We start from the raw sequence: 16777 nt of genomic DNA, 5'->3' as shown, positions 1-16777 counted from the left end.
GATCCCCCCGCCTCGGCCTCCCAGAGTGCTGGGATTATAGGTGTGAGCCACTGCACCCGGCCAAGGACAGTGTTTGTGAAGGCCCCAGAATCAGTTTGCCTCCTTCCTCCTCATTGACACCCCACATGCAGGGTTTTACTGCTAATCACAAGGAAACAAAATAACAAAGGTGGGACATTGCAAAGGCCACAGAAGCTTCTGAAAGTCTGAAGAGCCAGTCTCCCTTCTGACTTGGCTGATGAGAATCTCTCTGAGCTTTCCCTTTCCCCTTACACTCCTTAGACTGGAAGTCAAATGTTTCTCTGTCTTGAGTCACAGAATTATAGACACAAAAAGGGAAAAGAGTTGTAAATTAGCACATCTTCTAATTTTCAGATGCAGAATCCGAGACCCAAAGAAGCCATGCGACAAGCCTGTTTGTGGGAACTTGTGTTAGAATCAAGTCTCTGGCCTAGCTACCCAGTGTGCCCTGGGACCTCTCCATAGCTGCCCAGAGGGAGCCTCTGAGTCACAGCTGGTGGGTGACAGCATGTAAGTGACAGGAGTCTTCCCAGACACCACACATGGGCAGCCTGGAGGGTCCCCAAACTTCCATATCCCCACAGCCTCTGTGAATGGGAGCAGTAGCATTCTGGCTGGTGGGGAACACCTGGAGGTAAACAGAGAAAGCCAGGGGCTGCCACCCACTTTCCTTAGCTAGCCGGCAATTTGAGAAACTCAAGCAAGTTACCCTGCCTGTGGTGTGAAATGATATTACCGTCACCTCTGAAAGGGTGCTGGCCAAAATCACTATTCATAAAAAATGCATCAAGATAGGGTTATAAGTTACAAAGATGGCTGGGTGGGATGGCTCATACCTGTAATCTCAGCATTTTGGGAGGCCAAGGCAGATCACTTGAGGCCAAGAGTTCACGACTAGCCTGGGCAACATAGTGAGAGCCTTATCTCTTTAAAAAAAATTTTTTTTGAAACATCACCAGGTGTGGTGGCACATTCCTGTAGTCCCAGCTACTCAGGACGCTGAGGTGGGAGGATCGCTTCAGCTCAGGAGTTTAAGGCTGCAGTGAACTACAATCACACCACTGCATTCCAGCCTGGGTGACAGAGTGAGACCCTGCATCTAAAAAAGTGACAAAGGTGAAGACTGGATCCAACAGCAGATTACCTAAAGGAGGGAACAACCAACTCCTGAAAAACATCTGTCCCAAAGCTGAATGAAAGAATGCAGCTACAAGGTTGGGCGTGGTGGCTCACGCCTGTAATCCCAGCACTTTGGGAGGCTGTGGCAGGCAGATCACTTGAGGTCAAGAGTTTGAGACCAGCCTGGCCAACCTGGCAAAACCCTGTCTCTACTAAAAATACAAAAATTAGCTGGGCGTGATAGTGCATGCCTGTGATCCCAGCTACTTGGGAGGGTGAGGCACAAGAATCCCTTTAACCCGGGAGATGGAGGCTGCAGTGAGCCAGGTGTGGTGGTGCACGCCCGTAGTCCCAGCTACTCAAGAGGCTGAGATGGGAGGATTGCTTGAGCCCAGGAGTTTGAGGCTGCAGCAAGCCATGATTGTGCCACTGCACTCCAGCCTGGGTGACAGAGCAAGACTCTGTCTCAAAAAAATTAAAAATGAAAAAATTAATAAATAACGCAGCTGCTTAGCCACTGCCTTTTCCCTTGGTTATGTGGATAATAGGCAACCTATGCTCTAGAGGGAAGGGGTGTGGGTACCAACCTGGATTCCTTAGCTTACTGGCTGTGTGGCCGCAGCCAGGCAATTTCACTTGCCTGAGGTGCTACTCCCTCATCTACATCATTCAGGGCTGTGATGCTGGCATATTCAGCGAGATAATATCTGTAGGGGGCCCAGCTCTGGACTCAGCACGAATAGGTACTAATGAAATACAATCATGAACACAGTTATCGTCATCATTTGGCTGAGTGTGCCCAGACCCAACCATTACCATCACCAAGCCAAGCGAGCTGTTCCAGCAGGGGAGAGCTGGGGTTTAGCTGGACAGAAGCGCCTGGAATTCACATCCCAGTGCCAGCACTGGACACTTGCTTCTCTAACAGGATTTTTCAACCTCAACCCTATTGACATTTTGGGCTAATTTTTCATTGTGGGGAGCTGTCCTGTGCATTATGGGGTGTTTAGCAGCAATCCTGGCCTCTACTCTCTAAGAAACCAGTAGCATCCTCCCCTAGTTGTGACAACCAAAAGTGTTCCCAGGCGTTGCCAAATGTCCTCTGGAAGGCAAAAATCACCCCTGGTTCAGAACACTGGTCAAATAAAATGTTCATACTAGGTTTCTTATTAGTATTAGGCAAAGTCCAAGAATCTACCCAGAGTTTCCAGTTTAAAAAAATTGCCTGCCAGGATGACTTTTTCCGGTAAACCATGGAAGAACATTCACTTCCTATATTTGACAAGCACTGCAATCCAAGGGAAGAGAATGAACTAGGGAAATAATTGGGTGAGGTTTTAACTTCTGTGCTAATTTACAGGGCTACTTCGGCTCCATGTGAATACACCCATGACTACGAATTTCTGCTCAATAAAGTGGTGAGGGGGTAGGTTTAACTGCGGGCTCAGGCCAGATGTCCACAGGAACCCGTTGCCCCTGGTTAAACACTGTGTTGGGTCAGTAGCCCCAAGACCTACAGGCCTACACAAGAGCATTCTTCTCAAGGATATTTATCACTCCCTAACTCAACATAACCAAAGCATTGTTCTAACTCCGGGGGCCTGCATCTGCAGTGGGCCATTTAAAAAAAAAATAAAAGGATAAGTGAGTGACAGAATGAACAGAACCTCTCCTCTTCGTGTCACCTTCAGCTGACCCCTGTGACCCAGGCTTACTAAGTGTGACCCAGGCTTACTTTGCCCCACCTACACACTCCCTATTCACACACACACACACACACACACACACACACAAATAGTAGGACAAATGGAGACATACCCCTAGCCAGGAATGTGTTTCCTGTGTTGCCCTGGCACTCACTGCTGGCCCCTCAGGTCAGCTTTGCTAGAAGTACCTGGAAAATCCCTCTGAGCCCTGCTGTGGCCTAGGGCCTCAAAAGTGTGCAGAAACTGGTTCTTTCCAGGTGCAGAAAACAGAAGAGGCTCCACAGGGAGTCAAGAGAGACAACCCCACATCAGCCACATGGAGATCCCAAAAGAGCGCCTGGAGACCCAGCTCGGAGCCAGAGGGAATGAGACCAGGAGGGAAGGATGTGGCTACGGGAAGGACGGCCTGAAAGGAGAAGGGCATTAATAAGCACTTATTAGGCACCTCACAATAAGAGCTTCCTTGAAACATTACCTCCTTCACCTATCACTACAGCTTGGGAGGGAGCAATTATTATTCCCAGTTTCATCAACAAGTAACCTCAGAGAAGTTTGGCCAGCTGGGACTATAGCCAGGGGTGCCCGATCGCAAAGCCCAGGCTCTTTGTCACACCAGGGACTCTCAGCGGGACAGCTGCACAGATGGGTCACCTGAGCGGCTTCAGAAAAAATATAGATGCGGTCGGGTGCGATGGCTCACGCCTGTAATCCCAACACTTTGGGAGCCCAAGGCAGGCGGATCACTTGAGGTCAGGAGTTTGAGACCAGCCTGGCCAACATGGTGAAACCCTGTCCCTACCAAAAAATACAAAAATTAGCGGGACGTGGTGGTGCACACCTGTAGTCTCAACTACTCAGGAGGCTGAGGCAGGACAATCATTTAAACCCAGGAGGTGGAGGTTGCAGTGAGCTGAGATGCAGTCCAACCTGGGCGACAGAGTGAGATTCAGTCAAAAAAAAAAAAAAAAAGAAAGGAAGAGAAAGAAAGAAGGAGAGAAAGAGAGAGAAGGAAGGAAGGAGGGAGGGAGGGAAGGAAGGAGGGAGGGAGGGAGGGAGGGAAGGAAGGAAGGAAGGAAGGAAGGAAGGAAGGAAGGAAGGAAGGAAGGAAAAGAAAAAAGAAAGAGGGAGAGATGCTCAGGTGCTAGCTGCTACCAATTAAACCGAAGTCCTGAAAAGCCTCCCAGGTGATTTCAGTGGACATACAGTGTCTAGAACTGCTGCCATCCCCAAGGAATAGAGGAGGGAGCTGTGGACAGAGGACGATGCAGTGTGCTGGGCATTGTCCGTGTGCAGTGAACCACCTCCTGGGCCTTGCTGTGCTGCAGGAGCCCTCCTCCTTCCCCCAGGCCTCCCACCCCAACAAGTGGGCACTAAGACAGAGCAGGCAGTTTTAATGTGTGCTAAATACAGTGCTTGGGAAGATAAATCCACACACCCTCCATGCCATATGATATATATCGCACAGAAACGGCCTGCAATTATGTACTTCCTGGTATCATCCGCACACGGTCTCCCTTTACTCCTGTAGACCAGTGGTTCTCAGACACAGACAATTTTGTCCCCTGCCCCCATCTCCCAGGGCACACTGGGCAAGACAGAGAGGCATCTTTGCTTCTCACCACTTGGAGCGTGGAGGGAGGTGCCACTAGATCTCGTAGGTAGAGGCTGGGGATGCTGCTTAACCTCCCACAGTGCACAGGACAGCCCCTGCCACAAAGAGTTCTCTAGCCCCAAATGTCCACAGTGCCGAGGTCGAGACACCCTGCTGTAAGGAAGAAACAGTGACCTCTAGGTAGGCACAAATCCTGGACCGTAACCCACCTCCAGGTCAGAAGCCTGTCCCTGACCAGGCAAGTTTCAGAGAACTGCAGAATCTTAGATCAGGAAAAGACTGCTGAGACAACCAGCCCAGCTGAGACCTCATTCAGGGCAGCCCAACTGCCCTGAATTAACTGAAAATGGTATTCCTTACTGCAAATTTGTATTCACTGACTTAACAAATATTTATTAAGTCCCAGTATGTTTAGGGCACAGTGCCTGATTTTCCTGCCAAAATAGTTACCCATCCTGGAGTAAATCCCTTTGTGTAAGTCCAATATAAGATCCAGGCGAGATAGGCTCTGAACCAAGCAAAATCCACCCCCAGCTGGGTTAGGGTGGTTTTATTGCTTTCTGGCTCATTGGGTAACTTGGCAACCTGGGATCGTGTCTGCAAAAATCCAGAGGAGGCTGATCCAAGATCAACTCCCCGGGGTCTGCACAGGGGCCCAAGGGCGGGTGCCCACATTCCTCCCTAGCTGCCCACAGCTGCCCTCTGTCCCCAGCCCAGCTCCAGCTCCCAGCTCCCTCCCACTTCAGGCTAGTTACCATTACCAGCAGCAAACTCCAGCCACCCAGCTTCATGGGGCCAGCCTCTCCCACCTCTCCTGCTGCCCAATTGTTATTGACAAAAATAAGCACTCTATTGTGACTTGCCACAGAAATAAAAATTGCTCAGGGGAAGGAATTGGGAACATTTTGTACTCCAGGGTCACAAAAGATTTAAAAGTCATTCTCCCTACTGGAGATCTCATTTACACTGGGCAGAAACAACAACAAAATAAAAACCTGTCAAATGGATTGTGCAACAAAGGAAAATGCTGCAGAGGCAAACCTAGTAGGAGCAGGAGGAAAGGGAAAGGAGGCAATACACAGCCTCCTTGTGGGAGGCCCCAGGGGCTGGGCACTGCGCGATGCTGGAGGAGGGAAGGGAAGGTGACCTCCCTCCTGCCCATCTCCCTAGGATGCCCCCAGTGGCTGAGACCACCCTTCTTCATACCAAGGAACACAACTCCCCATGCCTCTACCCACCGCATCAAAATGGGCAGACCCAAACCCAACCAGAGACAACTATCTGTGATATAAAGGGAGAGTAGACAAAGCCACCCACACAGCAGGGCCTGCGATCACAGGAGAAGCTGCCAATATTTCACCTGACTCTCTCCCATCTCTGCAGAATTCTATCTGAAAGTTATTTCCTCAGGAAAGCTCCTCTAATCCCCCAGATTCATTTATTCCCTCAACAAATATTTATTGAATGGATAACATTTACTGAATGGCCCCCAGGGGTTAGATGCCCTTAGTACAATCTCTCCTAGCTACCCCCTTCCCTCTTTGAACACTTAATAATGATGTTAATTAACTACTTACATAATTATTTCTTAGGGTCTTTAAGACCTCCTTTTCCCACCCACCCTTCTGGAATATTGAGCTACTTGACAACAAGAATCAAATTGGTCTTGTTAACTGCTGTATCCTCAGAGTCTAGCTTCTTTTGGCACCTATTGGTTGCCAACACATGCTGAATGAATGAGTGAACAAATGAATGAGCAAACTGCCAAGGCCAGCGCTGTTCAAATAGAAATGCTGACCACAAAGACAAGTCATACATGGAATTTTTAATTTTTTAGAAGCTACATTTTAAAAAGTAAAAAGAGTGAAATTAATTATAAGGATATAGTTTATTCATCTCAACATATCTAAAATATTATCATTTCAGCACTTAATCAATATGAAATAATTATAAAAGTGATCTTTTGCATTCTTTCTCTCATGCTGTCTTCAAAATCCAGTATGTATTTTACTCCTACCACACATCTCAATTTGTACTAGGCACATTTCAAGTGCTCAGTAGCCACATGGGGCCACCACATTGGACAGCCAAAGTCCAGGCTTAAACAGAGGCTTCCAGTGTGCTCATTTTCTGGTAAGGTAGGAGAAAAGTTATGCTCTGCTATGCCAACACACAGTATAGCCATTATGCTTATGGTCTATTGAGTCAGACTGCTTGGTTCAAATCCTGACTCTACTACTTACTCCTTGTGCCCTGGGAAAATTACCTAACCACCCTGTGCCTCAGGTTCCTCTTCCAGAAAATGGGAGTCATAACTGTAGCTACACTGTGGGAGACTGTATTAGGAGAAAATGAGTTAAGACCCATAAAGGCTGGGGGCGCTGGCTCACGCCTGTAATCCCAACACTTTGGGAGGCCGAGGCGGGCGGATCACAAGGTCAGGAGATCGAGACCATCCTGGCTAACACAGTGAAACCTTGTCTCTACTAAAAATACAAAAACAAAATTAGCCAGGGGTGGTAGCGGGCACCTGTAGTCCCAGCTACTCGGGAGGGTGAGGCAGGAGAATGGCATGAACCCGGGAGGCGGAGCTTGCAGTGAGCCGAGATCGCGCCACAGCACTCCAGCCTGGGTGAAAGGAGACTCCATCTCAAGAAAAAAAAAAAAACCATAAAGCCCTTACAACAATGCCTGCCACACAGTAACTACTCAATAATATTAGCCATTAATGTTTAATTATGTTTATATCTTATAAAGCTATTAGGCCCCACTTGCTGCCCCAAGAGATGGGAGGTAGCTCTAGTCACAATACATTCTGTTGGTAGGATGAAGGTAAAACCAGTATCCATTTTAGAGATGAATTCTGAACATATTCTTTCATGGGCACTGCAAGATATATTTTAGCAAAAAAGATTGGGTCAGGTACAGTGGCTTATGCCTATAATCCCAGCCCTTTGGGAGGCAAAGGCAATTGATCACTTGAGCCCAGGAGTTTGAGACCAGCCTGGCCAATATGGTGAGACCCTGTCTCTATTTATAAAAAATAAAATATAGATAGAGATAGATGATAGATAGATAGATAGATAGATAGATAGATAGATAGATAGATAGATAATTGTGGACATACAAATTATATAGGCTAGCAAAAATTTTTAGGTTCACCTAAAGAAGAAAATTTAGACTCTGCCATAGTACACTCGTCATTTGTGAGAATGGGAAGTACCGGTTTAAATAAAAACCTTTTACAACTTTGTAAAGGTTTTTTATGCATCTCTTTCACCTCTGAAATTCAAGTTCCACTGTATAAGACACACAAGTTGTCTATTTTCCAATCCAGCATGTAAAGCAAATGACATTTACACTGGACTTCCTCCGGCATAAAATCTGCTTGGGAAAGCTGAGGACTCCATAGGTTCCAGCCCTAGTGCTGATACCTTTCTTATCCCTGTTTGCTGTCACCATGGTCTTAGAGCAGAGGAACACCACCTTTGGAGAAGAGCCTGGGTGGGCACAGCATTGCTGACAGGGGCAGCTCTTCGCCTTCTCAGTTCCAGGGGATTCCCACCAAGCTGGGGTAGTTCCAATCCCATTCTAACTCCATGTGGTCTAGGCTGAGAGCCTCAGGGTCAGCCCCACACCCAAGCTTTCTAGGTGTTCTTTTGTCCAGGGATCACAGAGTCCAGTGAGGTCCAGAATCACTAGATCTGTGACCACAAAGGAGTAGGCATGGAGATGAAATGGTGTGTTGCACTTGAACGGGCATCTTTGCAAAGAGGATCATAAAATATGGAAACGCGCCAAAAAAAATCATTGTGCATTGGGCTTCCACAATCACTTCTGTGTGTGTGCATGTGTGCATAAATGTGACTGAGTGACTGAGATGGCCAAAGTGACTTGCAGGGACATGAAATTGAGCCAAAGCCCCCAGTCTGTTGAAACATAGTCATCTGTTTGAAGTTAAGTGTCTACTTACTTAGGAAATAAGAACACAGAAGAAAACAGACAAAGAGTAAACTCTGGCATATTGAACTCTGGGAGCTTCTCTGCCATTCTCTCTTTGAATATTGCCTCTTCCTCATTCTCTCTTTCTACTCAAAATGTGATGTATGGACCAGGTGTGGCTTCACCACCTGGAAGCTTGTTAGAAATGCAAAATAGCTGGCACCTCTCAAGACCTATGGAATCAGAATCAAGAACTCAATGAGACACCTAGGTGAACCATATGCACATTAAAATTTGAAAAGCACTAGTTGATATTCTTTCCTTCTGGAACTTCTATTAAATCTATACGAGTCAGGGTGGCTCATCATATCCCATCACAGAACAACCAGGAGCAGGAGAGTGTGGGGCCTGACTCCTGCTGCTGAAGCTTCCATCTGGGGGAAGGAAAAAGAATTTATCTTCTTAATAGTTTGAAAACTATTACTCAGTCTATGTAACATCTCTTTGGCCACATCATTTTAATACATAAATCAAAATGTATGTATTAGTCTGCTAATAAGACATACCTGCTAATAAGACATACCTGAGACTGGGTAATTTATAAAGGAAAGAGGTTTAATAGACTCACAGTTCAGCATGGCTGGGGAGGCCTCAGAAAACTTACAATCATGGAAGAAGGGGAAGCAAACATGTCTTTCTTCACATGGCAGCAGGAGAGAGAAGAATGAGAGCCAAGTGAGGGGGGTAGCCCCTTATAAAACCATCAGATCTTGTGAGAACTTACTCACTATCACAAGAACAGCATGAGGGTAACCGCTCTATGATTAAACTACCTCCCACTGGGCCCCACCCATGGCATGTGGGGATTATGGGAACTACAATTCAAGATGAGATTTAGGTGAGAACACAGCCAAACCCTATCAGTGGCTAACTGCCATAAGAAACAACCTTAAGATGTCAGTGGCTTAGCAGTGGTTTCTTTCTAATTCATATTCAAACTGAGGCAGCTGAGCAGAGGAAAGGGAGAATTCGTCACTCAGGAAGCCAGAAGAACTTCCATCTTCTCATGAAGGAAGAGAGTATGTGAGAGATTGTAGGAGAGATTGTCCAGGCAAGAGGAAAGTGCTGCTCCTCCTTCCTGCTCATGTCTCATTGGCCAGAACTCAATCACAAGGTCCACCTGACCACAACCAGCTAAGCTGTGTGGTCTAGAAGTGCACCCTGGTAGAAAAGGAGGAACTCAGATACTGGTGACATGAATGTGTTGTGCTTATTCTGTGCTCCATGTCTCAACCTCCTATCCCATATTCCATTTGTCTATCTTTTGGTGCTGTATCCTGGGTGATTTCTTTATCTCTACCTTCCAAATCACTAATTCTCTCTCACATTCAGTCCAGACCAACCTTTGTCAAATGTTTTCTTAAAGGGCCCGGTAGTAAATACTTTAGAGTGTGTGGCCACATCGTCTCTATTCAACTATTCAACTCTGCTATTTGTAGTTCAACAGCAGCCTAAGACAATATGCTAAAGAATGGGCATGGCTGTGGTCTAATAAAACTTTATTTACAAAATCAGGCAGCTGGCCCACAGGCTAGAGTTTGTTGATCCCTGGTCTAGACCACTGCTATGGTTTGAATGTGTGTCCCCTTCAAAATTCATATGGAAATTTAATCCCTATCATGGTGGTATTAAAAGGTGGGGCTTCTAGGGAAACGATGAAGTCAAGAGGGCTCTGGCCTCATGAATGGATTAATGGCCTTACAAAAGAGGCTGCAAAGACAGTTCACCTTCTTGCCCTTCCATCCTTCACCATGCGAGAACATAGTGTTTCTCCCCTTCCAAGGATGAAGCCACAAGGAGCCATCTTGGAAACAAACACCAGGTCCTTGCTATACAACTTGATCTTGAACTCCCAGCCTCCAGAATTGTGAGAAATAAATTTCTGTTCCTTGTAAATTCAGTCTCAGGTATTTTATTAATAGCAGCATAAACATGTTAAGACAGATTTTTATTTTAATTACTTTTTTTTGTTTTCTAAATTTCTATCTCTTGTTCAAATCTGCCTGTTCTTTTTTATAAGGTCTTGTTTTGCTGTATGGATTCTATTTTCCCTTTATTCCTCTGAGTGTTTTAAACATTTATTTTTAAGTTCATTTCACATCACTCTATTATCTGTGATTCCTCTGGGATACTAACTGGTCACCAGGGGAAGTGACCAGCAAACAGCTGAGCCTCACCATATCCCACCACAGACCAACTGGGAGCAGGAGAGTGTGGGGCCTGGCTCCTGCTGCTGAAGCTTCCATCTGCAGGAAGGAAAAAGAATTTCTCTTCTTAATAGTTTGAAAACTAGTCTATGTAATATCTCTTTGGCCATGTCACTTTAATACATAAATCAAAATTTGTAATATCTTTTATCACAAAACAAGCACAAGTAAAGAGTAGCAGTTATTAGCTTATCAAGATGGCTGACACCTCCCAGCTCATACAGATGGTGTTGCACCCTCTGCTTCAACAGGCTCAGTGACTGGGAGACCTCCCTCCAACTCAAAGCACCTATTCTGGGAGGTGCTTAACATCCTTGAGCCTCAATTTCATCATCTATGAAAAAGAGCTAATAATGCCTACCTTACAGAAATGTTATGAAATTTCATTAAAATAATATAAATAACAGTGCTTGACCCAAAGTAGGTACTCAACAAATATTTCCATACGGAAGCACAATCTGATGTCTGTGTCTTATTACTGATGTCACAATCTCATTAAAAATGTCTTATTTATCTTGAACTAAAGATATGTTCTAATTCTGCCCTGTTGACTATGTAGAATGGGTCTAATTCTTCTTCCAAGAAGCTCTCAAATACATGAGGGTGATGTGTCATGCCCTCTTCACCAAACTTTCTCTTCTCTAACCAAATGCCCCCAAGTTCCTCCAACTAAACAAGAATTTCTTGTCTCAAAAGTAACTAGAAGCTCTTGGGCTCTAGTGGCTCCCAAGACGGAGCTCAGCACCAATAACACACCCTTTGCCCCTGGGGATCCCAAACTTGATCTTGTGGATATGGGTAAAGTTCATGATCAGCCAAATGCTTTCTTCATTATACAAAATTCAGGGGAGTGTCTCCATATCCTCTCCCCATTCCCAACACTGATGGCAAACCCTGTTTTGTTTCAAGGAGCCTGTTTTAGGATGAATATGCTCTTCACCATTGAAATCCAGTTCTGAACCTTTGAAGTGACATTTATTGTGGTTTTAGGAAAGGTTCACTGGAGGTGAGAAGTGACAGCTCTGGGTGATAAATCAAATGCAGCTCAGTTTTAATTTAAGGGAAAACCATCATCAAGTCAGCATGGCTCAGGCATCAGCCAGCCCTGGCTGGCAGCTTGTGATTTCTTATGTAAATGGTAAAGAGAACATTGAACGGTGACAATTTCTTCAGCTGCTAGGATGAGCCGTCAGCTTCTGTTCTCTGCTTAAACTTGACATCTTAAACTTCTGGTTAGAGGAGAGTCATGTTAACAAAAACGTTTCAGGACTAATCATAATCATAAAGCCTTTCTTAGAAACAACGGTACTTATACAGCATGTTACACAACACACCTGGTCTGTTTTGCTTCTTCAAAGCAGAATAGTCTAGCTTGGGATAGTCTAGCACTGCCTGTCCAACACAGTAGCCAGTAGCCACATGTGGCCACTAAGTGTTTGAGATCTCGCTAGTTTACATTAAGCTGTGCTAAAATAGAAGTATAAAATATGACACAGAATTTCAAAGATTTCATACAAAAAATGTAAAATATCTTACTCATAATCTTTTATGTTGATTTTATGTTGAAATGATAATATTTTGGATATAATAGATTAACTACTTATTAAAAAGTAATTTCACCTGTTTCTTACTGATGTCACAGTCTCATTAAACATTTTTCCATTGTGGCTGATAGAAAACTTTAAATTACACATGTGGCTCACATTTGTGGCTACCATTATGTTTCTAGTGGACAATGCTGGTCTGAAAGGCAAGGCAGGGAGCTGGAAATCCCATGTTTCTCTAGCTCATCCTCTCGGTGCAGACTCAGAAACAAAGGAGCTTACCATCAGAAGCTATCACGGGTTTTACTGTTTCTTTGTTGGTTAGACTAGAGCAGTGGTCCTCAAACTTCAGTGAACATAAGTGCTATGGACTGAATTGTGTCCTGCCCTGCCCCCCTCAAATTCACATATTGATGCTCTAAATTCCCCCATGTGATTGTTTCGGAGATAAGGCCTTTAAGGAGGGGATTAAAGTTAAATGAATCATAAGGGTGGGGCCCTGATCCAATAGAACTTGTGTCCTTATAAGAAGAGGAAGAGGCCAGGAGCCGTGGCTCAGGTCTATAATCCCAACTCTTTGGGAGGTCAAGGAAGGCAGATCACTTGAGGTCAGGAGTTTGAAACCAGCCTGGCCAACATGGTGAAACTCTGTCTCCACAAAAAATACAAAAATTAGCCAAGCGTGGTGGCATGTGCCTGTAATCCCAACTACTCCAGAGGCTGAGGCATGAGAATCGCCTGAACCTGGGAAGCAGAGGTTGCAGTGAGCTGAGATTGCACCACTGAACTCCAGTCTGGGTAGAGCTTCTCTCCCCAATATATGAGGACACAGCGAGAAGGTGGCCATCTGCCAGCCAGAGGAGAGCCCCCACCAGGAACTGAGCCTTGCAGGAACCTTGATCTTGGACTTTCAGCTTCCAGAACTGAAAAAATAGATGTCTGTTGTTTATGCCACCCAGTCTGTGGTACTTTGTTATGGCAGCCTGAGCAGACTAAGACCATAAGCATCACCTGGTGAATTTGTCAAACACACAAATTCCCAGACCCTCTTCCTGAGAAATACTGATTTTATTGATGTGGGATAGGCCTGGGAATTCACTTTTCTTTAGCAAGCATTGTAGGTACATATATGTGGACCATACTTTGAGATACCCTGGACTACAAGAAACATAATTATCTGGACTCCTTTGGCACTGTTGCCGGCCTGAATTGGACCCCCAATTCTGCCACTCCAGCAGTAGTAGCCAAATTAGTTTGATCATGGGCGCCCCCTTTTGGTAAAGCATTTTTGAGCATGCAACTCACCACACAGCTATACTTAACTGATAAATTACATATGCCCAACTGTAAATCATATACTAAATATTAGTAAAGATTTTTTACATAAAAATAAATACAGAAAAGGAGTTATGCTGTTTTCTTTCTGGGTCCCAGTGGGCCATCTTTAACCTGTGGAAGTCTCTCACTGAACACAAATTACACAGCTTCATATTTCCTTGCCTTTGCATGAGTTCCCATCTGCAATCTGTGCAGTGAGAAAATGCCTATTTATGCCTCAGGATTCAGCTCATAAATCCCTGTGCAGCTCTTTATTCCCCCTCCGTCTCCCACAGGTGGAGTTATTCCTTCTGCCCCTCTGTGCAGCACCTCTGTACTAATGTCACCTCTACTGACTTATCACATTGAATTGTAAGTATTTGTTTAACGTTTCCATTCCTTAAGGACTGTGCTTTATGTATCTCTGTTTCACCTGGGCCTTACACACAGTTCCTGGTACATAATGTTTTGTGTTTCTTTGGTTGGTTTGGTTGGGTTTTGTTTTTTTTCTTTTTTCTTTTCTGTTTGTAACAGGAACAAACCAATGAATGTAAGTGCAATTAACCGATACTTGAAGCAAGCCACCGCCCTTCTATGCACAAGCAAAATCACCCCAGTGCATGTGAAAAATAACCCACATTAAAGGGTGCAGTGCAAAAAGCTATCTAAAGACATACTGGGTTTTAAGTTTGAGTTTACAAAAACATGTATAATTCACACAAGAGCTGAGGATGAAAGCAAACAGCTTAAGCAGCCAACAGCATAAGGAGCAGAGAAGAAGGATTTTTTTTTAACTGATCTTTTTTAATTGTTTAATTGTCTTAAGATCAGGATCCCCTGGCAAAGTCACAATGGATGGTTTGTGAGAGGTCTCAGTACATCTTTGTGAGGCAGGACAAAGATGGATGGGGAACAAGAAAGCTTTTAAGGGCATTACAATTTATTATCTATATCCAGGTCTGCACTGCACAAAATGAAGGAATCATCTGGTCCAAACTCAAAAAATTGTGGCTAAGAGTATCACCTTTTGGAAACACAGACCTGGCTTAGGGTGTATAATAGCAGTGTCCTTCCTCTGCAAGGTCTAAACAGCCTCATTACTTAGGAAATTGTCTTCCCTGTTCCTTCACATATCTCTTACTATCTCAGTCTGTGCTTCTCCTGTGGATTATAAAGGGCTGCCCAGGCTGGAAGAATTTACTGGCACCCTCTCACATGTGCTAGGGTGCAGGCTGATGAAACAAATGCTTTGTCACTTCCCTGTTTACACAAAAGCTTTTTCTCTCAGCAGGAACTTGAAAGAAACTAAGGTGAACATAATCAGTTTATCTTCTTAGACCCACTTAAAAGGATTGACCCTGTGATATACTGGAAAGCAAAATACAAGTCTGTTTATAAATGGCTTTTTAAGGTGATTAACAAGTAACATTAGCAGGTAGAAAGATTTCCATACTGTTTCCCCAAGAGTAGGGTTGCCAAATGTTGCAAATAAAAATATGGAATGCCAGTTAAATTTGAACAGCAGATAGATAATGAATAATTTTGGGGTATAAATATGTCCAAATATTGCGTGCACCCTAAATTTTATCAGGCAACACTACCTCAAAGGGAAAAGGCTGTACATAACCCTTGTGGGGAGAATGTCTTCCCATTGGCTGAAAGGTATATATTAATAAAAACATAGGCCCGAAAGTTGAGATATCTGAGTTCTCTTCTAGATTAGTTTTTCATTAATTCATCAATTCTTCATCCCTAACAGTCTAGTGCCATGTACTAGGTTAATTCCTTAATAATAAAAAAAAAAAAGTTGCTGGAGAGAAACATGGTCCCTGACTTCTTTCAGCTTATAATCCAATGGTGTGACCCTTAGCCTGCCTGTGCCCCATTTTGCCAGCTGTAGAATGAAGCGGTTGATCACCTTGGGTTTATGTTTTGCAGAGTGTATTCTATACTAATAGATATTCCATCAAAGAAGGTTTTTGTGACAAAAAATATAATAAACATTGAGTTAAAAAGTTAATAGCATTTTACTGTAAGTCTTGTCAACATTTTAATGAGCTAATCATCATCATGACCCCTAGATGGTGACTTACTGCAGAACCATCCCTTCGAGGAGCCACTCTGGGGACTAGTGTTCTATGGAACACACTTTGGGAAATGCTGCCCTAAGCCAAGAACTAAAATTCTTTGTAAGTCTGTACTTGCCTTCTTTCCCTTCTCTGCCTAAAATGTTCTTCATCCTTAAAGAGCCAGCCCATATGTTTCCTCCTCTGTGAAGCCTTTCCTTCTGACTTCCCCCCAGTCATCACTCCCCACTGAGAACACATAGGGCATCACAAGGCAGAGACATTTGTCTGGTTCAGTTCTACATCCCAGCACCAAGCAATAGGCCTGGTCAGTACAGTGAGTTATGCCAGCAAATATGCTTTCTCATGAATAAGTAAGCGAATTAACACACACTGCCAACCAAGTTACCCTGTCCCCTGCCTTCCCATAGCACTTTTTTTGGTTGTAATATAATTATTTAATTCCTACCCTCTTTATACTGGAAATATTTTGAGGACAGCAAAGAAACATTATTAATTTTTCCATCCCTAGTAAATAAGCTCAGTCCCTGGCACATGCCTTGCTCTCTATAAACGACAATAAATAGCATTTACTGCATCACTCTTTACCAGGTACTCACATGAATTATTTTATTTCATCTTCACAACAATCTCATGGAAGGCATTATAGCAGATATTGTGGATTGGCTTGATCATCCTCCATACTAGAAAGCTGAAAACTATTTCCCAAATTCCTTTGGAGCTCAGGCTTTGCATATAGATTAGGTTTCATAAGTTATAAGTATTTGCATGAGTTTGGGAAGGTGAAAATGAGGCAGAGGCCACTTCTTGCCCCTTTTAGAAATTTCATTCTGGCAAGCAAGGGTGTGGAGATGTGATCCTTTTCTGCAGCAGGACTGCAGTCCTTCTCCAGCTTCCTGGGCATTTAAAGCAGAACCAGTAGCAATACAACATTTCAGCTGTGTTTTTAAACTCACCAGTTCCCATCGTGCTGGCTTCAGAGGTACAGCTCCCCTAGTACGTCAGTTCTGTGATAGGGAATCACTGCTCCTCCAGCCCTTTCAGCAACTGTGTAAGTATATAGTTCCTTGTATTAAATCCCTTTCTGCTAAAACACCTAGAAGAGTTTTAGTTTCTTGTACTAAACCCTTGCTGAGACAGAAATTACTATCATTATCCTTTC

Source organism: Homo sapiens, chromosome 14, assembly GCF_000001405.40.
Source record: "Homo sapiens chromosome 14, GRCh38.p14 Primary Assembly".
NCBI classification, from domain to species: Eukaryota; Metazoa; Chordata; class Mammalia; order Primates; family Hominidae; genus Homo; species Homo sapiens.
This window is presented reverse-complemented; position numbering follows the sequence as displayed.